Source organism: Homo sapiens, chromosome 10, assembly GCF_000001405.40.
Source record: "Homo sapiens chromosome 10, GRCh38.p14 Primary Assembly".
NCBI lineage: Eukaryota > Metazoa > Chordata > Mammalia > Primates > Hominidae > Homo > Homo sapiens.
The window spans coordinates 16,494,616-16,510,855 of NC_000010.11; the positions used below are offsets into that span (position 1 = coordinate 16,494,616).

General features: G+C 40.8%; 1 protein-coding gene across 11 annotated transcripts in view; it reads left to right on the forward strand.

Moving 5' to 3' along the window:
- Nucleotides 1–16,240, forward strand: part of PTER (phosphotriesterase related) — an 82,011-nt gene that overhangs the window by 57,606 nt on the left and 8,165 nt on the right. For 8 of the 11 annotated variants that reach the window (XR_007062017.1, XR_007062018.1, XM_047426006.1 and 5 more), the window contains one exon: nucleotides 10,405–10,545. The exons of the other annotated variants lie outside the window; for them this stretch is intronic. Coding sequence is in view for 6 of the 8 variants with exons in the window: in XM_047426006.1 (XP_047281962.1) it covers nucleotides 10,405–10,545 (141 nt within the window). In the remaining 2 variants the exon portion in view is untranslated. The remainder of the gene's footprint in view (nucleotides 1–10,404; nucleotides 10,546–16,240) is intronic. 11 annotated transcript variants of the gene reach the window in all.

The following is a 16,240-nucleotide window of genomic DNA, read 5'->3' on the forward strand; positions in this document are numbered from 1 at the left end:
TAATGCAAACGTACCACTCTCATTTTTGGCTTGGGTCTGGATCAAACTAAAATTCTTGGCAAATTATTAGTGGAAGTAGCAAATTACATATTTTTAATCATAGGCAATATTTAGACCACACATTAAAAACTTACATCATCTCTATTTACTTTCTATTTTTGACATTTAAATTTATTTTTAATTAATTGAGATCAGTTAAATTTCTTCAATTAAGAATTTCTCAGCTCTCATAGTTGCAGTGGAGCTGTCATTAGCAGTGTAAGAATATACATGAATAATGTTTTAAAATTATGTTAATATCAAATTAGAGTATAGTAAATTAGGTTACAATCACTCAATTATAGTAATTTGCTTTTTTTAAATATTGCATTATAAACATTTTAAAATTAATTTTAGGTTATTAAGTCTATAATTCTAGCTGAGTTTAGTAATTATTTTAAGTAGTTGTTGAAAAACTTTAAAAAAATAAGAATTCCACATAGCTGTACAAATATTCATTGGTTCTAAATTGATAAACTCAAGGGGGAGGAGTACAAAGATTTTTTGGAATTACTTTTTTTTTTTTTTTTTTTTGAGACAGTGTCTTGCTCTCTTACCCAGGCTGGAGTGCAGTGGCACCATCTCAGCTCACTGCAACCTCCACCTCCCAGGTTCAAGCGATTCTTGTGCCTCAGCCTCCTAAGTAGCTGAGATTACAAGCGTGCACTACCACGCTCAGCCAATTTTGTATTTTTAGTAGAGACGAGGTTTTGCCATGTTGGCCAGGCTGGTCTCAAACTATCGACCTCAAGTGATCCACCCACCTCAGCCTCCCAAAGTGCTGGGAGTATAGGCGTGAGCCACCATGCCCAACCTTCAATTACTTTTTTGGTAAACAATTTTTAATGATCAGTCACTGAAATTCAACAATTTTTTCAATAAATCAGTTGTATATATAAGCATTCTGTTGTTATTTTATTTGTATGCCAATTTTTAAAACATACTTGATCAAGTCTGTAAGTTTTATCAGGGAATGCAATTTATGATGCATAAATTCAGATGTCAGGGCCTGAGCTAGTTCCATGAGCCACATAGAGCTGCCCTCACAGGCCCACCACTTGCCCAAGGAATTCACAGAGTCAAATGGCTGAGGAGTTACAATTAAATCAAAGCTCAGCACAATGGAAAGGGCACTAGATTAGGAGTTGGAATACCTGCATTGTGGGTCACTTTAAAGAACACCCATGCTTTCCTTTCTTTATTTGTGCAGTGACATTAATACGTGACATAATTATTTCACCAGTCTATTGTGAGTTTCACAGCCTGCTCCTTGTTCTTGTTATTTAATGGTGCCAACATCTAATCAGTTGCCCAAGCAAGACAGGCTTGTGATTCTCCTCCTGCGTGGCTGTCCCTGTGGTGCCAATGCCTCATCCTTCACTCTTGCTGCTGTGCTCCGTAATCTGGCTAATAACAGCGCTATTTACCCAGCTGTTAGCCTAAAGACCTCCAGATACAAGCTCTCCTGTCCACTCCTCTGGTGTTCTCTGAATTCAGCCCCTCATTTATCATTTGAATTATTATAAGTCTCCAAACACAAATCCCTCCCTTAGTTTTGGTCCCAGATCTAGCCTCCACAATCCACCAGATCTTTCCAAAGGCAAATCTAATTATATCCCTGATCCTGACTTAAAAGCCTCCAATGGGTCACCTTTGCCTCAGGCACAAAATCCGAAGGTCTTGGTCTTCTGGTTCCCTCGCCTCCCTCCACCTTATCTCTCGTTATTCCCAGTATGCACACAGTCTCTGAGCCAAAGCCACACTGACCATGTCTTTGAGTGCCCTGTATTGGTTGTCCTTATATGCATCTCACACATGCTATTCTCTCTGCTAGGAATGTTCTATTTCCCCTTATCTATTTAGCAGAATCTTTCTTCAGAATGCAATTCACCAGGGGTTTTCTCCTCTATGAAGCTTTTCCAGAAACAGCCAACCACTGTTTGATATCTCCTTCTCTTTGCCAACCTAGTTCCTAGCAGCACTCTTACCATGACACTTGGTAAATTCTGTATAGCAAGTATTTGTTTCCGTGTCTCTTTTCCACAGTAGATACTGAAATTCTTCCAAGATGGGACTGGTGTTATTTGTGTTTGCTTTCCCAGCTCATGGCTGATTGCAAGTAGGTGATCAACAATTTCTTGTTAAATGGAATGATGGATAGATGGATGGATAGATGGATGGATGATTCCCCTCTCTTCTCCCCTTCCTCTGATAAACTACACCCTTATATTCAGGAACAGCAAGCTCCCTTTTTGCCTCTCAGCAGGTGGTTCTCTGGATTTTTTTTTTTTTTTTTTTGAGATGAAATCTCACACTGTCACCCAGGCTGGAATGCAGTTGCGCGATCTCGGCTCACTGCAGCCTTTGCCTCCTGGGTTCCAGCAGTTCTCCTACCTCAGCCTCCCAAGTAGCTAGGATTACAGGTGCCTGCCACCATGCCTGGCTAATTTTTGTATTTTTAGTAGAGACGAGGTCTCACCATGTTGGCCAGGCTGGTCTCAAACTCCTAACCTCAGGTAATCCACTCGACTTGGCCTCCCAAAGTGCTGGGATTACAGGCATGAGCCATATGCCCAGCCTCTCTGGATCATTCATCTTGATCCCTACCAACATTTGTCTAAATGGTGTCCTTTAAGACTCAACTCAAATGAATCAAAGTGAATCAAGTGAAAAAAATTAAGTGCTTCATTCTTCGTTCGCAATACTGTGTATTTATTTGTACTTCAATGTTTTTTAGCACATTTAACTATAATTATTAGCTTAAACATCTTCCTTCTGCAGACTTTAATTTCCTTGAGACAGCATCTTAAATTTCTTATTCGTGTCTATATTCCTAACACAGAGAATAGCACAAGATAGCTGATAGTAGATGTTCACTGAATTAATTTATGAAGGTGTGTTTCAATGTGTGAAATGAAATAATATACCTGAGAGTTATTTGAAACTGTAAAGCCCAAGACAAATGGTAGGTGCTTTTGTTATCTTGATCCTACCCACGGATCAAATTCTTTCCTCTGCTCCTTAGTTCTTTCTAGCTAGGGAGCCCACAGACCCTTGTCTAAATTATCACTTCATGCAGACTTCCTTTCTCCCACACAGAGTGCATTTTGACATTAAACTAAACCCCTCAGCATATGGATAAGATCTAGAATATAAAAGGGGGTTGAAAATAGAATCACCTGTCTTGCATTATAGTACCAGCCTTAAGAAACTGGGTATATGATAACTGTATTCTGACAATAAAGAGCCGAATCACTTTGGACACCATTTTTTTTTTTAGCTGATGACAATTTATTTTCCCTAAATTTATGCCTGTTTCTTATATACAGAAAAGTTACTTACTAGTTGAGCAAAAGTATAAAATATGCAGCAGAGGAAATGATATCATATGAATGACATGAACAAGTACTTGATACCAAAATCTGGTCTTCCTTCTGGGAAATCCCAGGATGTTTTGTAAATGACATTGCAATCATTTCATCCACCTTGAAGATGGGACTTTTCTTCAGTGTGAAATGCGGTAGCTCTTCTGTGCGTCACAATCACTTCACTGACTTTTCAGGGGAAGAAGTGAAAAATACCGACCTTAAAAGCTGGGAAAGATTGGAGTAAGAAAGAATAGAATTATTCATGGATGGCCAGGCGCAGTGTCTCACACTGTAATCCCAGCACTTTGGGAGGCCAAGGCAGGCAGATCAGCTGGCGCATCAGCTGAGGTCAGGAGTTTGAGACCAGCCTGGCCAACATGGCGAAACCCTATCTCTACTAAAAATACAAAATTAGCTGGGTGTGGTGGTGGGCACTTGTAATCCCAGCTACTCGGGAGGCTGAGGCAGGAGAATCGCTTGAACCCAGGAGATGAAAGCTGCAGTGAGCCAAGATCGCGCCACTGCACTCCAGCCTGTGTGACGGAGCGAGACTGTCTCAAAAAACTAAAATAAAAAACAACTCTCAAGAAGTATTCATGGATATAGAATGCAGAATGAGGAAAACTGGCTGAGGTTAGCACCTCCACTCTTCTAAGATGTGCTATGAGATCATTGGTGACTGGGAGGGACAGGACCTCTGTTTAATCCTCATCTGCTGGATGGCACACAGAGTTCATTTTCCCATGGTAATATACTGACATTAGGGGTCAACCCTCTCCAAGTGAAAAAGAAAGTCACTTGCATAAATGCAACTTCAGTAGCGCTTTGGCAGTCCCTGGAAGCCATCCAGCTGAATGTCAATTTCACATGGGTAAGTCACCTTGTTAGACGTTCACGGCGCAAGGTGCTTGTTCCTAGATGTCACTACGATGGTGAGTGTGTCTCCGTAGTGTGAGTGCCTTGGAGGAGGAACGGAGTTGCCCTGGTGCCTGGGTGTTCTTACCCCTGGAGGGGCAGCCTGGTTTAAGAACACGGCCTCAACACAAAAGCAGTTTGGGTTTGTTTGAAGCTCTTCAGGTTGAGACCTGAGTTTATCTTTTCTGAGACTTAAAGTCCTCATCTGTAAGATGGGGACAGTCACACCTTCCTGATAGAGCTTCTGTAAGGATTAAATGAGCTGGGGCTGTATTAAATACCTGATGACTATCAGGTGTTGATTTTCTTGTTTCCCGTCCCACCCCTTATTAATATCTCATACCACATACTACTTATTTTCAGGACTTTCCTTTGAAAACCTGTGTGATCACTCACACTATTTTCTTCCCCTGAATTTTGCACTCAGTTTGCTTTGTCAATAAGAAGAATTTAAAGGAATTCATTCCCTTTTTTATTTTTAATTTAATTATTTTATTTATTTATTTATTTATATTTTGGAGACAGGGTCTCGCTTGCTCTGTCACCTAGGCTGGAGTGCAGTGGCTTGATCGTGACTCACTGCAGCCTCAACTTCCCGGGCTCCAACAATCCTCCCACCTCAGTCTCCCGAGTAGCTGGGACCCCGGGTGTGCACCACCCTCACCTGGCTGATTTTTTGTATTTTTGTTAGAAATGGGGTTTTGCCATGTTGCCCAAGCTGGTCTGGAATTCATGAGCTCAAGTGACCCTTCCACCTCAGCCTCGCAAAGTGCTGGGATTACAAGCATGAGCCACTGTCTGCAGCTGAATTCATTTCTTAATTGCCTTCACGTTAATGTTTAGTTACCCCAAGGAGGTCATATCAATAAATGTCAGTTAAAAAATCAGAAAAAAAACTGCATATATATGTATGTATGTCTTGGTTTTTTTTATGACAGCAAATTTCTCTTCCCCTCTTTTTCTTTCTATTTGTTTGTTTATGTTATAGAGGCAGGGTCTCTCTGTGTTTCGTCTCAAACTCCTGGGCTCAAGCAACCCTCCCAGAGGCTTGGCCTCCCAAAGTGCTGGGATTACAGGCATGAGCCACTCACTGCATCTGGCCTTGCCCCTTTTTTTTTAACTGCATTTTCCTAATGTCTAAAATATCAGCCTAATTGCTTCCCTTCTGAAGCAATCTCCCCTCACGTGTGATCATGAAATTTTTAAGAGCATTTTAACAGAGGAACCAGCTTCCCCAAAGTCACTCCGCTTTATATAAGTTTTTGAGCGGATAAGAATTCATAGGGATTACTTTTTTTTTTTTTTGAGACAAGGTCTCACTCTGTCACCCAGGCTGGAGTGCAGCAGTGCGACCCAGGCTGGAGTGCAGCAGTGCGACCATAGCTCGCTGCAGCCTCAAACTCTTGGGCTCAAATGATCTTCCCACCTCAGCCTCCTGAGCAACTGGGACCACAGGCACACACCACCACACCCTGCTAATTTTTAAAGTTTCATTGTAGACACAGGGTCTTGCTTTGTTTCCAAGGCTAGTCTCAAACTCCTGAGCTCAAGGGATCCTTCCACCTTGGCTTCCCAAAGTGCTGGGATTACAGGAGTGAGCCAATGTGCCCGGCCAGGGGTTACTTTTGAAACTTACATGTGTGGATGAATCTTATGGGACAGTGTTAGTCTTCCTCTAGAAAGACATCTCTGCTTATTGTGAGATTCTTCAGTGAACGTTTATAACGTAGGTAACATTTATATTTCATTGCATCTGGAGAATTGGGTCCCTACAGTCCCTATTCATCTTTTATTTTTTATTTGTTTATATTTCTTTTTTTAGAGTCAGGGGCTCACTCTGTCACCCAAGCTGGAGTCTAGTGGTGTGACCATAGGTCACTGCAGCCTTGAACTCTTGGGCTCAAGCAATCCTCCTCACTCAGCCTTTCAAGTAGCTGGGACCACAGGCGTGAGCCACCATGCCTGCCATCTCCCCATTCCTCTTTTATTTTATTTTTTTATTTTTGTTTTTTGAGACACAGTCTCACTCTGTCACCCAAGCTGGAGTACAGTGGCACGATCTCGGCTCACTGCAACCTCTGCCTTCCAGGGTCAAGCGATTCTTCTGCCTCATCCTCCTGAGTAGCTGGGACTGCAGCACGTGCCACCACACCCAGTTAATTTTTGTATTTTTAGTAAAGCCAGGGTTTCACCATGTTGGCCAGGCTGGTCTTGAACTCCTGACCTCAAATGATCCACCTGCCTCAGCCTCCCAAAGTGCTGGGATTACAGGTGTGAGCCCCCATGCTCAGCCAATATTTGTAATATTCATTTCTTAGTTGACTTCACACTAGTGTTTAGTTATCCAGAGGGGGTCATATCACTATATGTCAGTTAAAAAAATGAATAACTACACACACACACACACACACACACACACACACACACACACATGCACACACACACACACACACCCCATAGTAAGAAAGTAAGCAGTTGTCATGATTACCATAGTTCCTTTCTCTTTGATCATGTCATTCAAATTGTCTAAAATAACTGTAAAGATTTAATCCTGCTTACTATATATAGTTACCCTCTGACTTAGCAGTTAAAAATCTCCACAAGTGAATCCTTTCTTACCTTTCTGGGATTTTCACTTTCTTCCCCCCATACTACCCTTTGATGGTAAATTCTCCATTTTTCAAGTGCAGTGTGAGGGTACCACGGGGAGGAAATTTCAAATTAAAAATTAAAGCACACTCTGTGCACATTCAGTCATTGTAATTCTGGAAAATGTCCTTTGAGTAAAAAACAATATTTAGCAATAGGAGAAGCCATACAGTATGGTGGTTTACAGCGTAAGTTCTAACTTTGAGATGAATTTAAATTCTAGCACATCACCTTGAGTGACTATCTAATCAAGTCCCAGTTTCTCAGTCTTCAGAATTGAGAGCTGCTGGGATCATGGAGGGTATTAAATGAGATAATACATATAATGCACTTTGCACAATGTCAGACACATAGTAAGTTCTCATAATTGTCAGCATGATGATAATGATGCTAAGTGACTTTACTTTTTATTTTCAATTGGAGCTAAGGCTAAAGAGTTTTCTAAGGCTTTACATTTACCACGGACTTTTCACTAAGTATATGCCTCGATATAGCACTGAAAATTTAGGAAAGTTATTCTCAAGGCATTGGGCCAAAGGACAGAAAAAGACATTAGGAGCAGAAATAAGAGTATGATCCAACCTGTAACTGGTGACTCCATTTCCGTGCTGACTCCTGCCCTCCCCCAGTACCCTGCCCATATTGGATAATTAACACACTGAATTTACTCAAAAGGAAAAATACTAAACTTACCTCTTCCCGCTTACATTACTTTAATTGTGTATATTTTGTTTTTTTCAAGTATGGTTCTTTGGGGAAAACAGAATATGTTTTCTATAGAAAAACACATATTCTTTCAGCCTAGTAATTTTGGAAGCAAAAGATGGTCTCCATGGTAAGAAGATGGAAAATGAGTAGTATTAATAGAAGATAGCACAGAACTAATGTACATTTTATAGTAGAAAGGAAAGATTTTTTAGCCTCCCTGCCTAAAACAACATCGTGAACTCTAAGTTATGCTAATTTGGTGAATAAATGAAAAGGAGCCAGCCAGGGTATGATAGCTCAGAATGAAAGTCAGTAGTCAACTCCCAGGAATCTCACAGGAAAGGAGAAACTTCCCGCACCCGTGGCACAGGGAGGCTTAATTGGTTCTCCTGTGGTTTATAAGAAAAGCTTTGATCAGGTGCGGTGGCTCACACCTGTAATCCCAGGACTTTGGGAGGCTGAAACAGGTGGATCACCTGAGGTCAGGAGTTCAAGACCAGCCTGGCCAACATGGCAAAACCCCGTCTTTACTAAAAATACAACAATTAGCCGGGAGCAGTGGCACACACCTGTAGTCCCAGCTACTCGGGAGGCTGAAGCAAGAGAATCACTTGAACCCGAGAGGTGGAGGTTGCATTGAGCCGAGATCACGCCACTGCACTCCAGCCTGGGCGACAGAGGGAGACTCTGTCTCAAAAAAAAAAAAAAAAAAAAAATCTCTGAAAATACTTCTGACCTCTTAGAAGTAGATTCATGGACACATGATAGTGCTTTTTTTTTTTTTTTTTTTTTTTTTTTGTATTTTTAGTAGAGATGGGTTTTCACCATGTTGGCCAGGCTGGTCTCAAACTCCTAGCCTCAAATGATCCACCCACCTTGTCCTCTCAAAGTGCTAGGATTACAGACGTGAGCCACCACACCCAGCCACATATTAGTGCTTTTTGTTTTTTGAGATGGAGTCTTGCTCTGTCACCCAGGCTGGAATGCAATGGCACGATCTCAGCTCACTGCAACCTCCACTTCCTGGTTTCAAGTGATTCTCATGCCTCAGCCTCCCGAGTAGCTGGGATTACAGGTGCCTGCCACCACCCCCAGCTAATTTTTGTTTTGTTTTTGTTTTTGTCTTTTGAGACAGAGTCTCACTCTGTTGCCCAGGCTGGAGTGCAATAGTGTGATCTCAGCTCACTGCAACCTCCGTCTCCCAGGTTCAAGCAATTCTCTTGCCTCAGCCTCCCAAGTAGCTGGGATTACAGGCACCCACCACTATGCCCAGCTAATTTTTCGTATTTTTAGTAGAGATGGGGTTTCGCCATGTTGGCCAAGCTGGTCTTGAACTCCTGACCTCAGGTGATCCACCCACCTCAGCCTCCCAAAGTGCTGGGATTACAGGTGTGAGCCACCACACCCAGCCATTTTTGTATTTTTAGTAGAGACGTGGTTTCACTATGTTGGCTAGACTGGTCTGGAACACCTGACCTCAAGTGATTCACCCACCTCGGCCTCACAAACTGCTGGGATTGAGCCACCGCACCCTGCCACAAAGTAGTGCTTTAATCCTCACATCGTGGAGTTGCCAAAGTAATAGAAATATCAGCATGGATAAAAAGCCAATAAGACAATGACTGTCTAATGTTCCCAACTCATCTCCACGCCAATTTCCGATCCGAAACGATCCCTTACATTTCTCTAGGTCCTTCATTCCTTTCATGCAATGTCTAATGGGGTATATTTTTCCTTCATTCCCTTCATGCAATGTCTTCCTTCCCTTCATGAAATGTCTAATGGGGTATATTTTTCCTTCACTTTTTTTTTCCCATATTGTTTTCTGCTAGGATGTTTTTATTCCTTCTTAGCTCTCTGTGTGATTGGATCTCTACAGTGGTATTTTGGGGTTACCTTAGTGCATCTCTTTTTACTTGTTATAATGCAAATTTCTTGATATAATCTACTCTTGCTCTGTACTCTACGCTTGTCTGTAGCCTGTACTTGTCTTACATTTCTCTCCTTTCCCTTTCATTTACATAATCTTACATCCTAAAATAGTTACATTCTTTATATGACATCTATTGAAATGAGAAGATATCCATAAAATTTATCATAAAATAATAAATTTTATTTAAAAAATAAGCACTCCAGAGCATAAATATCTGTATGAGTATTGTGCCTTCAAGAAAATGTGGGAATGATATTCTTTAAAGGCTTTAGAATTAATTTTAGAACCACTTTACAATCTTCACAAGAAAATCACCCTGCTACCACAAGGCAAAGCCTCATGTGTTACCCAGATTAGCATTACTCACCTAATTCACCAGACCTGAGGCCAGATTTCCTTTAATAGTTTTCACAGTTCATAGCAGTCTTTAGAGGATGAAAATTTACCCCATTAAGGATTCTCAAAATAGTGTGGGGGCATCTTCTGAACACAGTTCTGAGGGAGAATTCCAAACTTGCTCTGGAATAATGGAAGCATCATTAAACTAAGTCTGTAGTACCCAAGTACTTTAGAGGGGAAAACTCCTTTTTAGATGAGTAAGTTCTGTTATTTCTAGTAACAAATTGAACTTACTGTTTTATACTCACATCATTAAGAGCCATTTCAGAAGTGTCTGTTACTCGACTTCAACTATGTTCTTGTTCTTGTACATTGTGTGCTTAAAACTTCTAGTATGTACATGTGGAAAATGGGCTCTTCATAATAACAGTTCATCTGTCGCATTGTTTCTAGGACTATTCTTGATAAGAAAGAGCTCTTGGAGTTTGCTCAACTTGGCTGCTACTTGGAATATGATCTCTTTGGTACTGAACTACTTCATTACCAACTCGGCCCAGATATTGACATGCCTGATGATAACAAAAGAATTAGAAGGTAAATATGGTAAAGCCTCTCATAGCATTCCCTTTCCCTAGCCCTTTTTGATTGTCATATCTAGGGAAGTATTAGCAAAGATTCAGAAAACAGTAAGCAGGCCGAACCACAGACTTGCAGAGAAAAATATATCTATGCTGTTTCAGGGAGAAAAATCTCTCTATATTATTTTAAGGAGAAAATGAGTCATCCTAAGTAGGCTAAAGCTTAGCAGAGCCTTAGAAGTTCAGTGCAGATGGGCAGCTGACAGGAAACACAGATAATACCCAACCCCTGCCATGAAAATCAGAGAACAAAAGACATTTTCCTCTATTTACCCCTAATGAAATAAGCTGTTCCTCTCTCAGGTTGACCACACTAAAGCCATAACTTCCTACAAGTAATATTTGAAATGCTTTATCAAAAGTTTTCATTAAAAAGGTGATTTCAAGTTAAATGCTAAAAGTATAAGGTCTAAAGACTAAATATTATGTAAAATGAATGCAACCTTCCAAAACTGTATAATGTGTGATGCTGGCAGATAATTGTAGGAGTCATTCTTTGTAATCAAGTAGAAAATTTTAGGCGTCAATGATAGCTACCTAGTTTGGTCTTGGTCACATGGTGATAAGAAGATTGAATGAACCAAGTTAGAATACCTAGGAGGAGAAATAAATTGGAGATTGACAAGGAAGGCTTTCGTTTGGGAATATCTAAGTGTTGCTACCCAGTGAAGCCCTAAGATATGGTTTGTATGTGATAGTTGAACCGTGGGAATGAATGACATCACTCAGAGAAGAAGATGAGGACAGAGACCTGGGGACAGAGACATTTAAGGAATGGAGTAGGAACCGTTTCTCAAGGAAAGGTCGAGGAGAAGTTTTCAAAGTGATAACATGAGAGATATATATTCTTATGGAAGTCAGTAGAGAGGAAGTCTCAGGGCAGAAGGGCTTGAATGCCGGTAATAAGTGACAAATATCAAGGGAAATAAAGACTGAAAAGCATCCATTGGATTTCACAATTAGGAGGCTCACATTTTATAAACAGAGTGCAATCTCAGTGGAAAAGGCTTGAGAAATGGGTGGGCCGTGAGGAAGAGGAGAGAGGATGTTGAGGTGACTCTTTCAAGAAGCGTGGCAGTGGAGGGAAGCAAGGAGATGGGTCTGGAGTTACAAGTCAATAAAGGATCAAGGGAAGCTTCTAGTAAGAGTTGAGCAATGTTTATGTGACTTAAGAGCAAAAGCAGAGACAGAGCCAGAGAGAATGAGTCCAGGGAAGTGGTGCCCATTCCACAGGGTTACTATAGAATTGACATGAAATAATGTTTTCCAAGTTTTTGTCTGAGTGTCTGGTGCAGAATATGGAAGTGTTCAATAGATGTTGACTTTAAAAACTCTGGATAGATAAGAAATATAGAGCAAGGTTCCTAAGGCAACAAATAGATGGAATCTGGGGAACAAATAGAAAGTCGGTTGAAAGGATGCTTTCTCCATGGAAATGAGAGGGCATGACACAGCGATGGGGTGAATGCAAACAGAAGTCTTAGTGAGGGAAACAGGAGACTGAGGACACATGGCCACATGTCCTCTAGTGTCTCTGTGAGGTGGACATGGTTATCTCCTGAGAAAAAAAGAGTGGATTTAGGGCAGCACTGTGTAGAGCAGGAGAAAGGCTAGGAATGGCTGTCAGGTCAATGAGAGAGATCTTGACATGGATGTGTTATGTGCGAGACCTAGTTGAGTCTAGAAATCATGATTGCATGCCTGTGTATTGGCACCAATGCACACGATTTGGTGATTATTTTCCAAAGCAAAACTGTTTTGCGTTTTGGTAGTGGAACCAGAGAAGTTGTGTGCGTACAAGCAGAAAATGGGAACAGTTCAAGAGATTGAGGGTTGGGATTCTATCTGAAAGAGATGGATAACAATGGAGGAGTTGAGATGAGGGTCATGGGATCCAAGTTGGAGGGAAGAAAGCATAGAGAGGAATGGTCAGATAGACAGGAAAAGCATAGCAGGGCAAATAAGTGGACTGCAGGCTTTAATGAAGTGGGTGGAGCATATATATATATATATATATGTTCAAATATATATACTGTATGTGTATGTGTATATATATATGTGTGTGTGTATATATATACACAGTAGAAGAAGTGAGTGGAAAAAGTAGAAAAATGTAACATGATCGGAGTGGGAAACTGAAGATGGAGATTTCAGAGGGGGAGCAGTAGTTCCCTATGATAACAAGAACTAGAATATAATTATGAGAACAGAAAAGTGGTTGCCGTGGAAGTAGCAAAGCTGGAATTGAGAAGTGATGTCCAGGAACCATGAGATTCAAGTATTGCTAGTTGAATAAGGCACACTGGGTTGAGGGGAAGATCTTGAGCCAGTGGTCATAGTTGGGACATCCTGAGGATCTTTCCCTGGGAAGTCACATTTACGTCTGTATGCCTTCTGCTGTCTCCAAGTACTGGCATTCTGCCTTGATCACCTCATTAATAGTACTATGCTTCAAGTTTAGTATCATTAGGGAAAGCTAGTTAATCAGTGTTGCATTAGTTAAGTAAGATGGCAACTCTCAACTCTACATGAGCAAATGACTTCACCTGTCTTGACCAATGAAGTTCTGTCTTTTAATACTCAGATCAGTTATTTGACAAGTAGATGTATTGTTTCTTTGTTTATTTTTGTTTTATTATTTTAATTTACTTGCCCAGGAACCCGATTCAATACAGGTGAACCTGTTCCCCTAAAGCCCTAGTAGTTAGTTTATACTCAGAGGAGACTATTCCTTGCCTAAGGGCATCTGGAATTTAAAATAGTGCAGTGCATTCAGTCATTCTCATCTTTCACAATCTCAAAAACATGATTTCCTGATCAATGCCCTCAACATATGTTTTATTTCTTTTTTCTTTTTTTCTTTTTCTTTTTTTTTTTTTTTTGAGATGGAGACTTGCTCTGTCGCCCAGGCAGGAGCGCAGTGGCGCAATCTCACCTCACTGCAAGCTCTGCCTCCCAGGTTCACGCCATTCTCCTACCTCAGCCTCCCGAGTAGCTGGGACTACAGGCACCCGCCACCACGCCCGGCTAATTTTTTGTATTTTTAGTAGAGACGGGGTTTCACCGTGTTAGCCAGGATGGTCTTGATCTCCTGACCTCGTGATCCGCCCGCCTCGGCCTCCTAAAGTGCTGGGATTACATGTGTGAGCCACCGCGCCCGGCCTCAACACATGTTTTCTAAATCATCTTGGAAATGGGAACTTTGCACTCTGGATCGGCTTCCTTTTCCGAAGCCCCTTTGTGGTAGTGAGGTGCATCTTTTGCACACCTGTGTCTCGCATGAGGCTCCCAGACCTTCTAGAACAAGAGAAAGAAGATCCGTAAAGGGGCATCTGTGAAGGAGATAGAAGGGTCAGATGACCGATGGCTCCCCCAGCATTCCTTCTTAGCTCCTTTTAGCCATTTGTTTACCCTTTACTGTGCTAAATATAGCTATTCTGGATGTATGGAAATAATAAAAATTATTATAATATAAATCTGTGTATATATATATAAAATACCTGTGTGCTATTCCATACGTACGTGTATGTGTGTGTGCTTAATCTTCCTTAAATTAAACCATGCATTCTCGCTTGACCCAAGGACAGCCCATGTTAAGCACTGAATGCCCTTTTGGGTTGCGTGTGCTCCAGTACCCACTGTCTTGCACACTTGATTTTCATCATGCATGAAAGGACCACAGGGTCCTTTTCTGAGCCATCGTAGTCTTAAACCTTGAAGTGCATGAACACAGAAGCACGCTTCTGCCTACCTCTGGTGTTCAGCACCAGAAATTCTGTGTCTAACACCTGTTTTCAATCTTCTGCTCCATTTCTCAAATCTTATTATATCTCTGCCTTTTCACACTTTGTAGTCTCTCTCTAATATTTGTTTGCAAACACTAACTCATTTGTATTTCTATAATTACCGTGATTTTTTGTCTTCTCGTCTGTAGTGGCTCCCCCTTTTCTGGCAGCATCTCTGTAACTCCTGTTCTTCCATATAATGGCACAACAGGAGAGATGATCTTTTAGTGTAAGCAGGACGGGGCAGGTTTTCTTCATAGTCAGGATATGATTGTGTGTCCAGAGCCATAACGTTATCTTTCTCATAAGTAGTCTCCAGATTCTTGACTTAATGGGTTCTAAGGATTCCCGGTTTTAAGTATGAGTATCTTGTCCTCTATACTCTTTCATTCTACTTCATGATTTGATAACATTGTGTTTCAAGGTCTGACAAAGGACATCTTAAAGGAATTTGTTTATCCACATGATCTGCCTTTATAGTGTGAGAAATTATATTTATCAGATAAGAAACATAGGCAAAAATTTTGGAAAATGCCCAGAAAATATCAGGGAGAAAGTGTTTCCTAAAACCTCCTATACCGTGATACTTCTTTGCAGTTGTGGATCAAGGTTTGTCACCCTAAGCTTCAGTATTGTGTGTGCATTCTGTCAAATCTTTGTCTTTTTATGTGATAATATAACTTATCTTAGATAATTCCCCTAAACTGAGTGTGTTCCAAAAGTAACTGCAGATCAGAACTTCAGGATAGTATACAAATTTCAATGAGGCAAAAAATCATAGTGGCACAAAAGTCATTACATGCACTTATAGGACAGGCATGGTTCTTCTCTGCTAGTGCTTGCATTCCTTTGACCTGCAGATACAAAGTCTATTCTTCCATTATAATTTATTTTAAAATATGTGTTCTCAGAGGGCAGGGCTTTGTGCTTGAGTTTTTTTTGTGTGTGTAGTACCCCACGTTTTGCTCACTGTAGTAGTTATTAAATATGACTCATGTACTAGGACACCAAGAAATGCTTTTGAAACAAAAAAGATACCTTTCAAATAATCAGCCTCTGGAGGAAGGCACTGTCCGTCCGTCTAGATCCACTTTAGAATCTAGACGCCAAAAAAACTATTCAGAGAATCCCATAGAAGAGCCATTGTCTGTGAGTGGCATCTTCTACCATCAAAGACCCATGGAAGTCACGACAGACACTGCCCAGAGTCCAGACACGTACAGATGGTGGCTGTCAGGAGGTGACTCACACTACAGATTCCAGCATTTAACAAAGCAAAGAGGATTTCATTTTTAGAGAATAGTCAGGAAGCTGTTCTTTAGTCCACTGACTATAAATTTAAAGGAACAGCTTATTATTTTAGCAATCTTGCTGACATGGAAAGAAGACAGAATATATTTGTATTGGTCAGTTTAATCCAATGCTCAGAGGCTACAACTAAATCAAAATTGCCATAGACTTCAAAGGGGCAAATGGTTAAAATGCTGACCAACCTTTTTTCAGTGGCTTTGTAGCTTATCAAATGCCCCTCACTTGCAGACCAACTGATTTTGCTCTCAGAATATTTTACTTGTAGTGAGATTCCTTTTGTTTCCCTATTTTAATCGCAAACAGTCCTTGATATTTTTTGGCCAGATAAAAGGAGAGAGCAAGAATGAGATCTGAAAAATGGGCCCACAGGGAGAGGCATTTGAGAGAGGATTGCTGAATACAAATCCAGAACAAAGTTATTTAGTGAAATGCCAAAATGGTCATTCATCCAAACTGGCACATCCTATTAGAAGCTATCTTTAATGCGGTATTGCCAGGCATGGTCATAAATGTCACAGGTTAGAAATTTCTGTATGCATGGAATAAGGATATGTT